The sequence below is a fragment of the Homo sapiens genome, chromosome 2, assembly GCF_000001405.40.
Source record: "Homo sapiens chromosome 2, GRCh38.p14 Primary Assembly".
In the NCBI taxonomy this organism is placed as follows: Eukaryota; Metazoa; Chordata; class Mammalia; order Primates; family Hominidae; genus Homo; species Homo sapiens.
The window spans coordinates 147,463,288-147,480,367 of NC_000002.12; the positions used below are offsets into that span (position 1 = coordinate 147,463,288).

General features: G+C 38.9%; 1 annotated feature.

Moving 5' to 3' along the window:
- Positions 327-1,526: an enhancer, noted in NCBI's record as "BRD4-independent group 4 enhancer chr2:148221182-148222381 (GRCh37/hg19 assembly coordinates)". NCBI's record gives its function as "activates an origin of replication core promoter dependent on BRD2, P300/CBP, MED14 and CDK7 cofactors, and independent of BRD4, by STARR-seq in HCT116 cells {active_cell/tissue: HCT116}" and the evidence as "EXISTENCE:reporter gene assay evidence [ECO:0000049][PMID:35650434]".

Here is a 17,080-nt window from a genome sequence, read left to right on the forward strand (position 1 = left end):
GATGCATGGATAGCACTTGACTTTTATATGGAAACTGCTAATTCCTTATCTGTGAGTTATCTGTGGGTTAAAAAATCCCTTGCTTATCTGCCCTAATTCTTCTTTCATTTTGAACACTGTAAACAAAATTAAATGAAGTTACATATAAACAACAACAAAAAACTTTCCAGCTATGACAGATGGACCCAATCCATCTCAGTAGATAATATCTCATAAATGATTCATCACCATTGCTTTAACCTGAGCCTTTTGTATTTTGCACATCTAAGTAAATAACCATTAGTAAGCTTTATGCATTGCACTGTGTAAATTATCTTGTGTCTGTCATAATCGAGAAAGTAGTACTGATATTTTGGGGGAAAGGTCTCTTCTAATTATTTCTTTGCTGAATCTTTTCTCCAGATAAGAGCTGTAGGTTATCACATAGAACTAGATTCAACTCCAAACCTGATCTGGGGTTTTTCTTTAATATTTACAAATGGAGCATCTGTCTTACTTTAACACTTTAACAAATTATAGGAATTTTATGTTTTCCATAGGCAATATGAGTATTTGATATGTTTGACAGAAGAGTTAATTGTAATGAATGCTTACAGCACAGTCCTAAGGAGATACCTGAGTTTTCGAATACAGTCCTCTGTACCTTTAGAAATATAGTTCAAACCAACGATCCTGTTTACCTGGTGCAGGTACAAAACAACACAAGACTTCTAGGGCGGGCTTGCCTTTACTCTGCAGTTGAATAAGGAACTGATTGGCTCTGAATAATTCCAGGCCCAGTCTCAGCTATCCAAGCAGTGGATACGCCTTTGTTAACACAGATTTTTTTTTCCCATAGATGCGTTGTGAAGCAAGGTGTCAAATTCCAAGAATATTATAGTAATGGAGTCACTTAGGATGAAAAAATTAAGCTGAGAGGTAGCTGAGATGTTCACGTTGGGCTGTTGGGACTAGCACCCACTCTTGGCAGGATGGACAGGTGAGATGGGAGGCCTTTGACTCCCTTTCTCTCTGTTTCTCCAAGCCGTACCTCCCCTGTGTCTCACTTCCTCCAAGGCAGCTAGGCCATGCTAGTTAATCATTAATCAGTTTATACTGCAGAGTTAGTGGCTGCTGATTCTTCATGCATAGACGTCAGAGATAACCTTCTTCCATCTTGGGGTTCCTTTCATCCATGGAAATGAGGAACACTGGAAAAGACATGGTAGAGATCTCCCCAAAGAGTCCACAGAGGGTACTGGTAATGCTACGTTGACCCAGATGACACATTCTGACATCTCATCATTTGTGTTTTAAATTAAAGCTATGTTGGACATGGACTGTGGAACAGAACCTGGTCATTATAGTTTCTTTTAGAGCCATGAGGATAAGATACACAGAAATGTTACGTATCTAATGTATATAAATATCACCGGGCTAAATAATAAGAAATTATTACAAAAGACCAAATAAAAGTTATCAAGAAGGTCAAAGAAGAGGGACAGGTCTGTGAATTACCCTGGAGCAAATGAATAAAGGTTTAAAAATGTAAATGTCAAGAGGAAAAAAAACACAACCATTTTAAAGTGGGTTGACTTTTGCCCCAGTTCTGAACTATGCTGATAAATAAAATAAAAGTAACTAATTAGCATAAGTCGAGCCTTAACAGCTCACCACCCTATGAGTCATTTTATGGTGTTTTCAACAAGCAAGGTCATTAACACTAGATAGCACAAACCAAATAAATAATTTAGACACAAGCCTACTGCACACGTTTTGGGGTTCCTTTGTATGACCTCTGAAGGAAACGGCCCCTTGCTTGGCATGATAGAATACCAGTGAGGGTGAAGTCAGATGGAAACTTTCTTCCCATTCTGAAAATGGAAGTAACACTGTGGATCAGATCCAAGTTCAAGGTGAAGAGAGGAAGGAGGTTGCCAATACTATTTACTCACCCCTTCCCTTCTCCCCTTCCCTCACCACCAGGATTAACTGCAGAGTTCAAAGTCTTGTATCTAACCAGGAGGGGCTTTTGTCTGCTCCTCACTGAGGACATTGGCAGGAAAGAAGTACCACTGTGCCTGTGCAATCACAATGCAAAAGTTGTCTATAAAGGGCAGAACTTAATGAAATGTCTTGGACTCAGCTTGAAAACTTAATTAAATGATAATGATTGTGAATGAGTTAGCTTTTACCCATTGTCACTGTGGCATGGCAGTTTAAGTCACATTCTGGAGTCAGATAGATCCATGTTCTAATCCAAGTTATAGTCATTCATTAGAACCCTGGGCTTCAGTTTTCACATCTGTAAAATTGATATAATAATAGTATTTCCCTTATAAGACTGATTTTTTTTTTTTTTTTTTGAGACATGGTCTCACTGTGTCACCCAGGTTGGAGTGTAGTGGTGTGAACATGCCTCACTGCGCAGCCTCAGGCCTCTGGGCTCAAGCAATCCTCCTGCCTCCACCTCCCAAAGTTCTGGGACTATAGGCATGAGCCATGTGTCCAGCTTAAGGATTAATAGGATAATGATTCTCAAGCACTTAGCCCAAAGCTAGCCTGACATATACTATGAATTCAAAAAAATCCTAAATTTTTTTCTGTTAATATTATCATTATGTTATTATTATAAAGGCAGCAGACCATCATGAGAATACGTACCTTGGTTGTCAGGCACATTTTTCTAGAAAGTGGCAAAAAAGTGACAAATACCTTCCTTCTTAAAGTCACCCTGATCTAAGCAAAATTAAGTGGAACAAAGGCCAGTGGGTGAAATGGTCAATAAAAAGCAAACAGGCCAAGGATTTTATCATAGAGATGATCAGAGGCCAGATTTGAATATCTTGTTTAAGCCTCATAGGTAAACATAACTGCCTATCAAAAATGTCTTCAGCATTTCATTCCAAGAAGTACAGCTTATATTAAAAACTGCACAATTACTACAACTCTGAAAGATGTTATTATTTACAGAAACTGGGTAAAGGGATCACAGGATCTCTGTGTATCATTTCTTACAACTGCATGTGAATATAGAATTACTTCAACATAAAATGTTAAAAAGAAAACTACACTACTTCAAAATGCTTGACCCAGAACATGGGATCATAGAATGTTTTATTCAAAAGGGATCTGGAAGAAACCATATGGCCCAGCCATTTTTTTTGACGGATTAAAAACTGGGAACTAGAAATACTCAGCTTTTTAGCTACTAGTAGCTTCTAATCAGAGCTTGTTTCACAGCCCAATGTTGCTTCTCCATACATTAGCATGTGCTGTGTGCCCAATATATGCACCAGCCCCTTGACAGAAGCAAAGAAGTTGTATGCCATCATCCCTAATTCACACATAAGAGAAGAGAGGTATTGGGTTGGTGCAAAAGTCATTGCGCTTTTTCCCATTAAAAGTAATAGCAAAAACTGCAATTACTTTTGCACCAACCTAATACAAATCTAGAGGATAATTTTAAGCATATGGTTCTGCATTTTTACCCGGTTCTAGTATATGGCATATAATAGTTTCCTAGGGCTTCCATAACAAAGTATGACAAACTGAGTTGCTTAAAACAACAGAAATTGGCCGGGCATGGTGGCTCATGTCTGTAATCCCCGTAGTTTGGAGGCCAAAGGGAGGTGGATCACTTGAGCTCAGGAGTTCAAGACCAGCCTGGGCAACATAGCAAAACCCTGTCTCTACAAAAAAAATACAAAAATCAGCTGGGTGTGCTGGCAAGCACCTATAGTCTCAGCTAGTCAGGAGACTGAGGTGAGAGGATCACTTGAGCCCAGGGGGCAGAGGTTGCAGTGAGCTGAGATCATGCCACTGTACTCCAGCCTGGGCAAAAGAGTGAGACCATGTGTTAAAAAAAGAAATAAAAAAAGAAAGAAAAAAAAGAAATAAAAAAAGAAAGAAAAGGAAAGAAAAAGAAAGAAAGAAAGCGGAAGAAAGAGAGAGAGAAAAAAAGAAAGAAATTGATTGTCTCACAGTTCTAGGGGCTAGAAGCTCAAAATCAAGGTGCTGACAGGGTCATGCTGACTCCAGCCTATTGGAGAATCATTCCTTGTATTGTCCCAGCTGCTGGGTGCCTCAGGTTTTCCTCAGCTGGTAGAAGCATCACTCCAAACCTTCATCTTCACTGGCATTCTCCCTGAATCTTTACATCATCTTCTCTCTCTGCCTTCCTGTCTCTGTGTCCAAATTTCCCCTTTCATAAAGACATCAGTCATGGTGGATTAGACGTCACTCTAATGACCTCATTTTAAGTTGATTACCTCTGTCAAGACCCTATTTTCAAATGAGGTTACATTCTTAGGTGCCAGAAGTTAGCCCTTCAACATATCTTTCTGGTGGACATAATTCAACCCATAACACACAGTAGTTGCACAATAAATATCAGACCACTCAACCACTCACTGACTAATAAAGGGAGAAAAGTTATTGACATTACAAACCAAGGAAACCACAGGAACCAAGTCATGGAGATATGGAACAGATTATTGGATTCAGGAGTCTATAACTGAGTAGTTTGGAGGGAGCTTAATATACAAAGGAGAACAGAGATGGCAGAGAGATAGGCAGAGACCACTCATGAAGGGCTGGGTGGAAGCTTGGACATTACTCTGTAGGCAGCTTAACAGTGACTGGCAAGAGCAGCCCTTTGTTTCAGAGTTGCTCATTAAACTAAAAGTGAAAACTAAATAAGACACAGTGCCTGCCCTCAAGGGCCTCATTGTCATGCAGAGGAGATCATATACAAGCAAATCATTTCAGTTCAGTATGTGTCCTTAAGGGCAGAAATAGTGTAATATCTACAGTGTCTTTGGAGCATAACCTGTAGCAGGTAGTGAGTAATTGTTTGCTGAATAATTTTGATGTGTCAATGTGTTTTTTTTATTATTGCAGATATAATAATAAAAATAATAAAGGTAACAGTAACTAGCATTTGACAAGCACTATGATAAGCCCTTTGATGCATTATCTCATTTAATCCTCACCACAATGCTCTGAGTTGTACACTGTTGTTATCTCACTCTACAGATGAAGAAAGCAGGCTTAGAGAGTTACCCAAGGTCACAGATCTGGAAAGAGGCAGAGCTGAGACTTGAACTCAAATCCACATGACTCCTAACCCCTGGATCTTATTTCTTATACTAAGAGTTAAATTGGCAAGATTTCCAATTATCTTTTGTTTGTGTTCCAATTCTAGGGTTAATGGTTAGTTTTTTACGTAAATCATCATCCTTTCACCACAGGGGGTAAAGCCTATGAAAATGCTGATTGAGTGAAATTCAAGAGCAATGTGTTTGTCAATGGCCATTAATCAATCTATAATCAATGTGTAAACACTTTGCTAAACAATTAACTTGTTGGAAAATGTGTAAACAAGACAATTCCAGCTAAGGCAGATATTAGCCAATAGTTAGGTCGAAGAGAGCACAACACTGTAGCTCAAAAGACCAGCATGCCGCCCTTCATTTAATTATTTTTGTAACATACCTATTGTATATGTAATGAACTTCCATAGAAATCAGCCCCCTGGGACCCTCAGGTAATTGAGAATCGTTCCTTTCTGCCTGATTCACCAAATAATCAGTTTCACTAATAATAAAAAGAAGATCTAGTAGGGAGTGCAATTGTAAGACAGCAGGTTACAAATAAACAATTAATAAAACTGTTTTGGGTTCAACTATGTCATTTGTTTTTGATGCCACAGTAATTTTGGAAGGGAGCAGAGTGATCCTCAGGGTCTTACTAGGCTTTAGGGACCTGTGAACCACCTTTCACCTGTCTGCCTATGCTCGTATGAACATACACATTAGGAAGAGGAATCCACAATTTATCACATTCTTATTAGGATCCAACACTCAAAAAAGGTTGAAAATCTCCCCTCCCCGCCAGCGCCGGCTTAATGCAAATGGGCAAACTACGGCTCAGAGATGTCAAGACAGCTACACAATGCCATGCAGTTGTTTATGGAAATTCTGGAACAAGAACCCATGGCCTCCCAGCCTGAAGCTCCATCTCCTATAACAAAATTTTAATAAACTCTGGACCTGACAACATGAATGTGGCCCATAAACAACTGCAGAATAAAATCAATGTCTAGAAGAAGCAAACATCTCCCTACCACTCCACATTGAAGTCTGATACCTCCAATAGTGCCACTTTAGGGTCATATATTTAAAGGTAAATGCTTACAGCCTAACAAGCATTTGTTTATACTTCAAAAGAAATTCATCTTTCAAATACTCCCATGGCATTATATTTCGATGGGATGTAAAAGTGACTTCTCTTTCCTCCCTCCATCTCTCCCCCACTGCCTCCTCCCCTGCTGCCATGATTGGCCACATCCTCCAGCAGCAATAATAGGATCGCCTTCCCTACTAAGAACCCTGCTGTTATTTGGAATGTAATTGCCCAGCACCCCACAGAGAATGCATTCTCTCAAGCTCCAGCAAAGCTTTTCCATTGAGACCAGGCAGAGTACATTGAAGGCTAATTTGGAAGATGTTAAGAATATGTTAAAATAATGAACTTCAGTTTTTCAAATGAAAATAGAAACCCTCCAAATTAAGGACTTGACTCTCAGCTCTATTTTCATATTACCCCTGGACTAGAGTTACATTTTTTCAGCCCAGTTTATGCATCTGTGGGATTCTGAACAGGATCTAAACAGGCAATCCATCTGATTCATTGAGAATCTTCCTGACACATGACTAGGGTTTCTAATTCCCACCAAACTCCAAACACATAACTCTTCCATGCCACCTCAGCCCTCACTTCCAATTTTCCTAAATGGAGTGTTTGGCAGCTTCAAGATAGTGAAGGAAACACAGAAGCCACGTCTCTGGTTCCACCAGGCCCAACATTGGCCTGAGGGATTAAAACAACTTGCAGTGACTGGAGACCATCTTGTTCACCCTGAGGGGCTTTGCTCTAACTTGTCTTTCCCAACACAATTTCATGAGTTTTACCCATTGCCAGGTTGTTTTTACTTGATTATGTTGGACTAACATAGCAAGAGATCCACTCTTACTTCTTGGGATGCCAAGTACCTATGACTGTTACTTAAATGCTGCAAATTGACAGGAGGATGTTCTATATGTTTGTATTTTAAGTGATAAGGAAATATATGTGCTGTTTGCTGCCATGACAGTGAGGGAGTTTTGATGACATAAATGTCTCCAGAAAGATGAGTGAATTGGCCTTTTCAGAGAACAAGGCTGCCAAGAAACTGAAGGGGTGGAGGTGGTGTCAGCATGGGGGAACACAGTCTGGCCTGTAATTTAGGCAAATCACATTCTTTATAACTATACTTTAGACATTGGTTTTTCTATTAAAATGGACAGATATGACATTCAATTAACATGCCTCACCTTTATCTCCTTTGGTTCAAATTAACCCTCTGTTTAAAAGCTCTGAGCACCACTAAAAATAAATTTAACAAATTATTTGAAAGTTCTTAATTCTGATTAGAATCAAATAATTGTACTTTTTTTTACTGTAAGCATCAAAATATGTTTAAAGGGATTTATTTATTTATTATTTATTGAGGTGGGGAGTTAATTTGTTGAAGAGTGTCCTTTTCAAAATAAGAGAAAAATCTTTATACTGCTGGGCACAAAATCGCATTTCACAGTCACAAGACCAAAACCAACATCAGGATTTTCTGTCCTCAAATTTTCTTGTTTTCTTGGATAACTTAATTGGCACCTAGCAATTAAGAAATCAGTAATTCATTCCCACATATTTACTGAGCACCTACAAAGTACCTGACTGTATTGGAAAATAAGCAAAGCCTTCCTCACTGAACTGGCTTAAGAGATAATAAGCTAATGTATATGGGCTGCATTGTCATAGGTACAGCTGTGAATACATATGTCAAGCAGGCTAGGGGGATAGACAGGGACAGATGCTGTCAGTTAACAGAGATTGATCAGGGAATTCCTCTCTGAAGAAATGACTTCTAAGTAAGGCCTGCGTGTGTGAAACAGCAATGGCACATGAACAACTGGAGAAGAGCAATTCAGGCAAAGGGAACACACAGGAAGCAAGGGCAAAGGTCCTTGGATAAGAAGGCTCCCATGTTACCTATGTAACTGAGCCACAGGGATCTTGGGTGCTAGAAACAAGGTCAGAGAGGCAGCCAGGAGCCCCATGTTGCTTCTTATGGGCCACTGTGAAGTTGGGTTTAATTCTAATATTATGGGAAGCTATTGATGTATTGAGTAGAGGAGTGACCTGATTGTTTATATTTTAAGGGGATGTTCCAATCAATAGGAATTTATTCTAATTGTCTTCTATGTTTATCCTTTATCTTCAGCTCACAAATTCCATTGATTCTTCTTCACATGGCCATCTTTTTGTTTTTGGCCCCATCCTAGAGCTACATTTCCTTGTACATGGGCCATCACAACATACTTCCAGCTGGTATCTCTGCCCCTAGTTTCTCCAAGATCCAATTCATTTAGTAGAAGTGCTAAATTGATCTTCCAAAAATACAAACCCATCCATGCTGTTTTCTGGCTTTAGAAGAGGAAGCCATTGGCTCCCTACTGGCTATAAGAAAAAGCTCAAATTTCTCATTCTGTCATCAAGAACTTCACAATATGGCCCCAACATTATCACCACTAAGGCAAAAAAATAAAATAAAGTAAAATGAGCTGATCCCGGCATGAAACATTCTTGATTCACAGCCACATACCTCCAAGATTGGGATGCTATATTCCTTTACATCAGCCATATATATGACTTGTCCCTCTGGTCATAATTCAAAGACCACCTTCTCCTCTCAGGACCTTCTCAATGATTCCAGCTCAGAATGTCTACAGTGCACGCATCCAGCACTACACAGTCTGATATTTTTTTAAGACTAGTCAAGTGCAGTAGTGAGAAGGGGAGAAAGTCGAACAAGGAATTTGATCCATAACTGACTGTGAAAAATCAATTGAGGTAACTCCCCACCTTGGGACAAGCCTAATACATATTTTTATATTCCATCTTGAAATATCATGTACCAGCTTTATATAATTTATATGATATCTTCACACTAAAACTGTAAGTTCCCAGGGGCCTTAAGACTTCAGTAGCCAACTCAGTGGCCTTGCACACACAGTACAGAGTTTATCTTCAGGCAATGCTTACAATCATAGGCCTTGTAAATAAAAGAAAAGTTAGAGCTTTTCCAGTCCTGGTCTCTCATTTCGTGGGTAAGAAAATCAAGATCTTTGGATGCGAAGGGCTTTGCTCAGGGCTACACAGCTACTTAATTGCATAAAAAGAACTCAAGTACAAGTCTCCTGACTCTTTCCAAGACATCATGCTGACTGGATCAAAGAATCAATTCCAATAACTTGTCTGACTATTACCACATCCTAGCCATTAGGACTATAAGTTTCCACTCCTTCTAACACTTTTTTCTTTTCTTTTCTTTTCTTTTTATTAAACCACAACACTGCTATAAAGTGATCAGATGACCTCTACCGATTATGAAAAGCATAATTATGATCCTCAGTTACAAATAAGAGAAATAAGCTCTGGATAGCTTTAGCAAAAGGAAACCATTTAGAAAGGTAGAATAGGGCTGGCAGAAATGATGGGGGGCTTGAGAATGGAAGGAAAGCACAGACACTCCATAGGGCTGGGAGGTGGACTCTGCAGGCTTCAGCATAGAGCAAGTCTGAGCAGCCCAGCCCTGCTATGGTGAACAGTCCTAGTGCCACATGTTCAGCATTCAAAGACCCCCATCTACCCAGAAAGTGACAGATTGGTCAAGTCTAGGTACCTAGAAGATAGGGAGAGAAAAAGTCCAGACCCTTCAGCTTCTGTGGTAGAAAGCAGGTACCAGAAATAACATTTCCACCAATATCACTCATGGAGGAGATTAATCATCCCAAAAGAAATTGTGTGCTATCATGAAGGGAGAATGATAGGAAGTCAAAATCTCAAATGTCTACTGCATCAATCATCTCTACTGACATCAGAGCAAAATGTCAATTCTTCAATTCCATTTCTCCTTGGAATGATAGCATAGAGTAGGGACAGAGTGAGGGAATGAAGGGATGAGAGAAGCAGGGAGGTTAGGCTGCCTTGGAATGAGATCCACCATTTGCTTAAAATGGTCAGAATCACTTCATCTCTGATGAAATGCCAAAGCATACATATAATTACTGCCAATTACTCCTGATTTTCACACAGGGAAACTGACTCAGAATGCTGCCTATAAACAAAGGGAGGTTAGAATCAGAATTCTCCCAGGAGATATACTGGGATGCAAATGCTTACAGGCCTGTGTTGATTTCTTAGGCCCTGAGTGATCTAAATTTGATTATTATTAATAATGACAATAAAAGATTCTGTTGCCTTACTATATATGCCTGCATCTTACCAGGGACATTATGTACATTATCTCACTTGTTCCTTGGGAAAAATCATGTAAATCAGTATTATTTTTTTGCTTTGTGGTCAGAAAAACTGAGGCTCAGATAGTACAAGTCAGAATTTCAACCTAGATCTATTTGACTTCAAAGCTTCTGTGCTTTCTGTCATGCTAACTAGAAAAACAGGGGACCCAGAGTCAGAATATTTGGATGCAAGTCACAGCTCTAGCAGTTACAGGTCTATAGCTTTGGGTAAACCATTTTAATTTCTCTGTGCCTTGGTGGCTTCACCCAGAAAACACGGATAACTGGTAATTACTAGTTGTTCTCCCTCATAAGACTGTTAAGAGCAACATATGAGAAAGGGTCTTGAAAACTAAACCTATAAAATGCTATTCAAATAAATCTTAGTAATTATCATTATTATGATATATAAGACAACTGGAGACAAGCAAAATACAGGCTTAGGCACAGAAAATAATCCAGCCGTATGTGGAATGCTGGTGAGGCAGGAAACGGGATGCCAGAATGTAACTTTGCTCTGATCCACTCTACCTGCGCAGGAGAAGGAGGAGCAAGAAGTACCTTAAAAGACTGTACCCAGTAGGATCTGAAATGTAGGATATACTTTGCAGCTGCTTTGCTGTTACAGAAATGAATGAAACAAAATCACTGACTCCAAAGACAATCTCATTACTCTTGATAGATTGGCTGCCTGACAATATTTTGGAACTGCCAGAGGAGGCAAAGTTACATTTATATAACTTTAAAACTGTCAGAAAAGTGGGGAGTAAAATTAAGTTTGTTCCTTTTTACAACTACAGGTAGAGGTAAATTGCATGGCTAGATGAAGGGGAAGGCATGTGACAGCTCTAATATTACAAATGAGTATATTTATGAGCACTGAAAGTCTGTGTACAGAGAATAATTTTTCTCCCATTTGGTAGGATTATAGAAAACTGATGCATTGCAGATTAGAGCCAAAAGAGAAAAGTGGAACCAGCAACAATATAATAACCACTCAACAGGAGTACAAATGCAAGAAAAGATGCATTTATTTTAATTTAAAGACATTTCTGTTTGAAGGAGATGCAAAAATGGGAACATCCAAACTGATGTTTACATAGAATTACTTCTAATTTACACATCATGAGTCTTCCTGTTTTTCATTGGGGTTTATGAATCTTGATCACAACATGAGCATTTATTTATAAATATTGCACAGCATGCATTTAAATACATCCTCCAAACACCAAAGTCTATATCTGTAGCCATTTGCCCTCTTCTCTCTAATTACAATGAAGAAATGTCTCTTTTTCTTTCAAAGGCTAAAACTTACACATAGACCCAGGATCCTAAATTATCCAACCCTGCAGAAACCCTGTCAATAAGCCCATCTTTCTCCAGCATCATCAATCTTCAAGTTCCTCTCCACCATCACTCAAATATGCTTAACTAAGTATCTCTCACATGGGAGTCTGGGGAAAATATGGACCCCATGTCATCCTTCAGCTATTGTCCTTTCCCTCAAGGATCCTGTATAGCCAAGAATCTCAAAAATTAGACATTTGGCCTCAACTTGACCCTTCATGCCCTCTGCAATTATCTCCAATCAGGCATCTGCCCACACTAAAAACCATCCTCTTGATAAAAATCATTCACATTATTTGATTGAATGGGACTTTTTTCATTCTTTGCTATTCTCAAGTGTTTCAGCAGCATCCAACACATGTGACCATTTGCTTCTTTCTTTATCTTGGCTTCCTTAGCAGTGTACCCTGCACCTCCCCGCCACTGCCCCCAGTTTTGGCATTTTTACTTACTCCTGTTGCTTTAAATTCCAAATACACAAAATGGTTCCCAAATTTCTATGTTCAGCCCAGCCTCTTCTTCAAGGTTTCAGAACTGTATACCCAACTAATACTTGAAGTTTCCCCTTGATTTTCTACAGGTATCTTAAAATAGTCCAAAGTCAACTTCTGCTATCCACTCCAACCTTGTATTGGCCAGTCTTTCAACAGACCCCATCTGTATTAGTCCGTTTCACCCTGCTGGTAAAGACATACCCAAGACTGGGTAATTTATAAAGGAAAGAGGTTTAATGGACTCACAGTTCCACATGGCTGGGGAGACCTCACATTCATGGCAGAAGATGAAGGAAGAGCAAAGAGATGTCTTACATGGTGGCGGGCAAAAAGAGTTTGAGACGTATTCACTATCATGAGAGTTTGAGACTTATTCTCTATCATGAGAAAAACACAGGAAAGACCCACCCCCATGATTCAATTACCTCCCACCAGGTTCCCCCCATAACATGTGGGAATTGTAGGAGCTACAATTCAAGATGAGATTTGGGTGAGGACACAGAGCCAAACCATATCACCATCTTAGCATTTAAGTTATATCATATATAACCTATTGTCCATGCCAGTGTCCTCAGAGTTGACCTTAACTCGAGAGATCCCACATCTAGTCTGTGGACTATGTCTCCAGAATATAGCTCATTTCTCTCAACAACTGCTAACAATCAAGTTTAAGTTATTAGCATCCTTTACCTGGCCAGCTATAATGACATCCTAACTGATCTCTTACTTTCATCTCCAATCCTTTCTATACATGAGGATGCATGCTTTTTAGAACAAACAAACAAACAAAAAACTTGTTTTAGAGATGGTGTCTCATTATGTCGCCTAGGCTGGAGTGCAGTGGCTATTCACAGGCGCAATCATAGTGCACTCCAGCCTCAAACTCCTGTGCTGAAGCGATCCTCTTGCCTTTGCCTCCTGAGTAACTGGGACTACAGGTGCTTGCCATTGTGCCAGTCAGGGGATGTATGCTTTTAAACGTTCCTCTGATCATGCTTAATTGCACTCAGAATAAAACCTTCACACACCAGTAAGTTCTATATACTCTGGTAATTCCTACCTCTTTGTCCTCATCTTAAGCCATTCTCATCCTCTATTACTCTAATCTTCTTTCCCTTGTCCATCCAGGACATTCATATGTGTGTTCTAAATCCTGACACGCATTTCATCCAGCTCACTCCCACTCATCCTTTAAGCTGCAAGTCAAAATTCACATCTATAGGGAAGGCGTCACTGAGCCTGCCCACAATCTAAATTAAAATACCCATTATATTTTTCTGTTGTACCCTTCACATCTCCTCCATAGCATGCACCGCTGTTTGCCACCATGTGTTAGCGCAAATGTTCATTTATGTCTCTCTTCCCTTGCTTCTTTGTTCTGTATGGGCAGAAATTGCACTGTGCTCATCACTGTATCTTCACTGCCAGTACAGAACACCAGACGGTGTTGCATAAGAATTTGCTGAACCAACAAATGTACCAAGGCTGATTTTCCCATGGATTTTTCCCTTAAAATATAGTTAACATTATAGGTGGGATACCTGAGTTCCAGCTGCTTTCTAAAGATTTAAGAAAATGTTGAAGTCCTGGAAGAAAAATGATTGATTCAAAAGTATTATAATAAGAATAGTAATTAATACTTATAGTATTATTATACTAAGAAGAATAGTAATTAATACTATTCTTATTATACATGTAATTGAGAACTGTGCTCAATTACCTTTCTACAAAACACAATAATGTGTATTAGTCGACTACAGTGTCATTCAACTCTTACATCATTACACACAAATTATACAGTCATGTGTCACTTAATGATGGGAATATGTTCTAAGAAATGTGCATTAGGTGATTTCATCATTGCACAAATATCACAGAGTGTACTTACACAAACTTAGATGGTAAGGCCTAGTACAAACATAGACTATATGGTATAGCCTATTGTTCCTAGGCTACAAACCTATACAGCAAGTTACTGTACTGAATACTGTAGGCAACTGTAATACAAAGGTTAGTACTTGTGTATCTAAGCATATCAAAACAAAGAAAAGGTACAGTAAAACTATGGTATAAAAGATTTGAAAAATGGTACTCCTATACGGTGCACTTAACATATATGGAGCTTGCAGGGCTGGAAGTTGCTCTGGGTGGGTCAGTGAGTGAGTGGTGAGTGAATGTGAAGGTCTAGGACATTACTGTACACTACAGTAGACTTTATAAACACTGTATAATTATGCCGTACTAAATTTATCTTTGAAATTTTTTCTTTCTTCAGTAATAAATTAACCTTAGCCCACTATAACTTTTTATAAACTTTAAGCTGTTATAAACTTTAAATTTTTAAAACTCTTTTGGGATAATCCCTAGCTTAAAACACAAGAACATTGTACAGTTGTACAAAAATATTTTCTTTTTTTAGATCTTTATCCTATAGGCTTTTTTCTATTATTTTTTTTTTCACCTTTTAAACTTTGTTGTTAAAAACTAAGACAAACACACACATTAAGCTAGGCCTACACAGGGTCAAGATTATCAATATTACTGTCTTCCACCTCTGCATCTTGTCCCACTGGAAGGTCTTCAGCGGCAATAACATGCATGGAGCTCTCATGTCCCATGATTTCAATGCCTTCTTCTGGAATACTTTCTGAAGGACCTGAGATCCTCTCTAATCTAGCATCTTTACCAGCAACACCTCTTCCTCATGTCCACGGACAGCTGTACCATGGGCAGAGAACTACCCTGGTCTTTGGCTATCACTGTGTGTCAATTTGTCCCAAAGGTTACAACATGCAAATCCCAGAGAGAAGCAATCTGAGATAGCCCTGCCTTCAGCATGCTTGGGAGAATAAATATCAGCGAATAAGATCAACATAGGTCTGCTAGACTGAGAAATTATGTTTTGTTGTTGTTGTTGTTGTTGTTGTTGTTTTTGAGAGGGAGTCTTGCTCTGTCGCCCAGGTTGGAGTGCTGGAGTACAGTGGTGCGATCTCAGCTCACTGCAACCTCCGCCTCCTGGGTTCAAGCGATTCTCCTGCCTCAGCTTCCCAAGTAGCTGGGATTACAGGTGCCCATCACCACACCCAGCTAATTTTTGTATTTTAGTAGAGATAGGGTTTCACTCTGTAGGTCAAGCTGGTCTCGAACTCCTGACCTCAAATGATCTGCCAACCTCGGCCTCCTAAAGTGCTAGGATTACAGGTATGAGCCACCGCACCCAGCTGAGAAATTATGTCTTAATCATATTTTAAAATGAATATCACTCCTAAAATTATTTTATTAATAAATCCTTTTACTGACTGTAACTCCAGCATTTCACGCAATGATCCAAAATGATACTAAATTACCAGCATCACATTTTTCAGAATTTTTTGAAAGATTAAAAAATTAAAAATAGAATTATTATTTTATACAATACCCAACAAATATTTTTGCTGCCTTGGAGTACACTAGGTATAAAGAAGAAAAGGAAATACAAATTTAATATTCATTTCAAAAAACCTTCCATAAAGCACTGGAAATACTTGCCACTTCAAAATATGTATTTTCTGTGTAATATAAGCTTTGACATTCTTATCTTCAAAATTATTTACATAGAAAAATAATACACATGCATAATTATAATTTGCATTATTTTCTGCTGGCCTAGCAGAAAGGTACCAAAAGTTAATTCTCTAAAATCAAACCTACCTATAATCTCATTAAATTTGCACAACGAGTGGGTAGTTACGGTGACATCATTCATAGTTTTCTAAGCTCCAAAATAACTTCTTAATGATGACTTTTGTAGCTTGTAATAACCATATAAACTCATGTGATGGTTCATGATCTATTTACTGCCATCATTACTCTTCATTCAGTTATTTTACTGCCCCCACAGGGTTATATAAACCTGCTCTGTGCCACCCATCTCTACCACCCATCAGCAAGCAGAGCCGAGCTGGTCAGCCAGCCGAGCAAAAATGCACGAGGCTTCTCTGTTGTTACACCAAAATGTCAGCTTTGCTGCCTGCCTCCTGCTTATGGATAAATCATCAACCCAGAAAACCTGCACGTCCATCACCCATTGGATCTCTACCCCTAAGTGACCCATATTCAGGGCCTGCCAAAGCCTGCCAATTAATGATCCAATGGAGGAACACATTAACTACCCAATTCTCTGGGTTTTCTAGGCTCTATTCCCATGGCAAGTTAGGGTATCAAAATCCAATGTCCCTGAACTATACTAACCTACTTACTGAATTGCAATTTAATATCATGGGAATTTGCCATTTCAATATATGGGCTAGATTGTTTGCAAAACTGTAGCTGATATATTGTCTACTATGTTTCTCAGAGACAATTTAACAAATTTCTCATTGATGTAAGCATTCAGAAGTTTGCCCTTTTTAAGCAAATGGATATACTTTTATATTAGCCAAGGAGAGCTATATATTAATAACTTGTTATGTTTGTTTTTTCTTTAGCAGTTAGGAGTCAAAGAACTAAATTTACTATTTAATTCCCATGACTAGCTCACTGAGAGCTCCTGGCATAATTATGCTCCCCTTCTTTCTAAATCAATTTTTCCAACTTCTCTTCCCTACCACAGTAGTAGGATACAGTACAGGTTCATCAGTAATACTGATTCACTATAACCATAGGGCACTGACCAAGAAGTGACTAAAAGGCCCCCCAGAAAAGGTCCTAGTGTTGAGCAAAGATGTCGCCTTGAGAGAATAGAGGATAGATTCTCATCAGTAACTGGTTCAATTTGAAAGTGAGGATTCAAAGCTGGGTTCTTACCCTAGATTATCCTGAGCACCCGTATTCCATTCATTCCTTTGTCCCCTTTCTCACCTCACTTGAGTTCAGAAT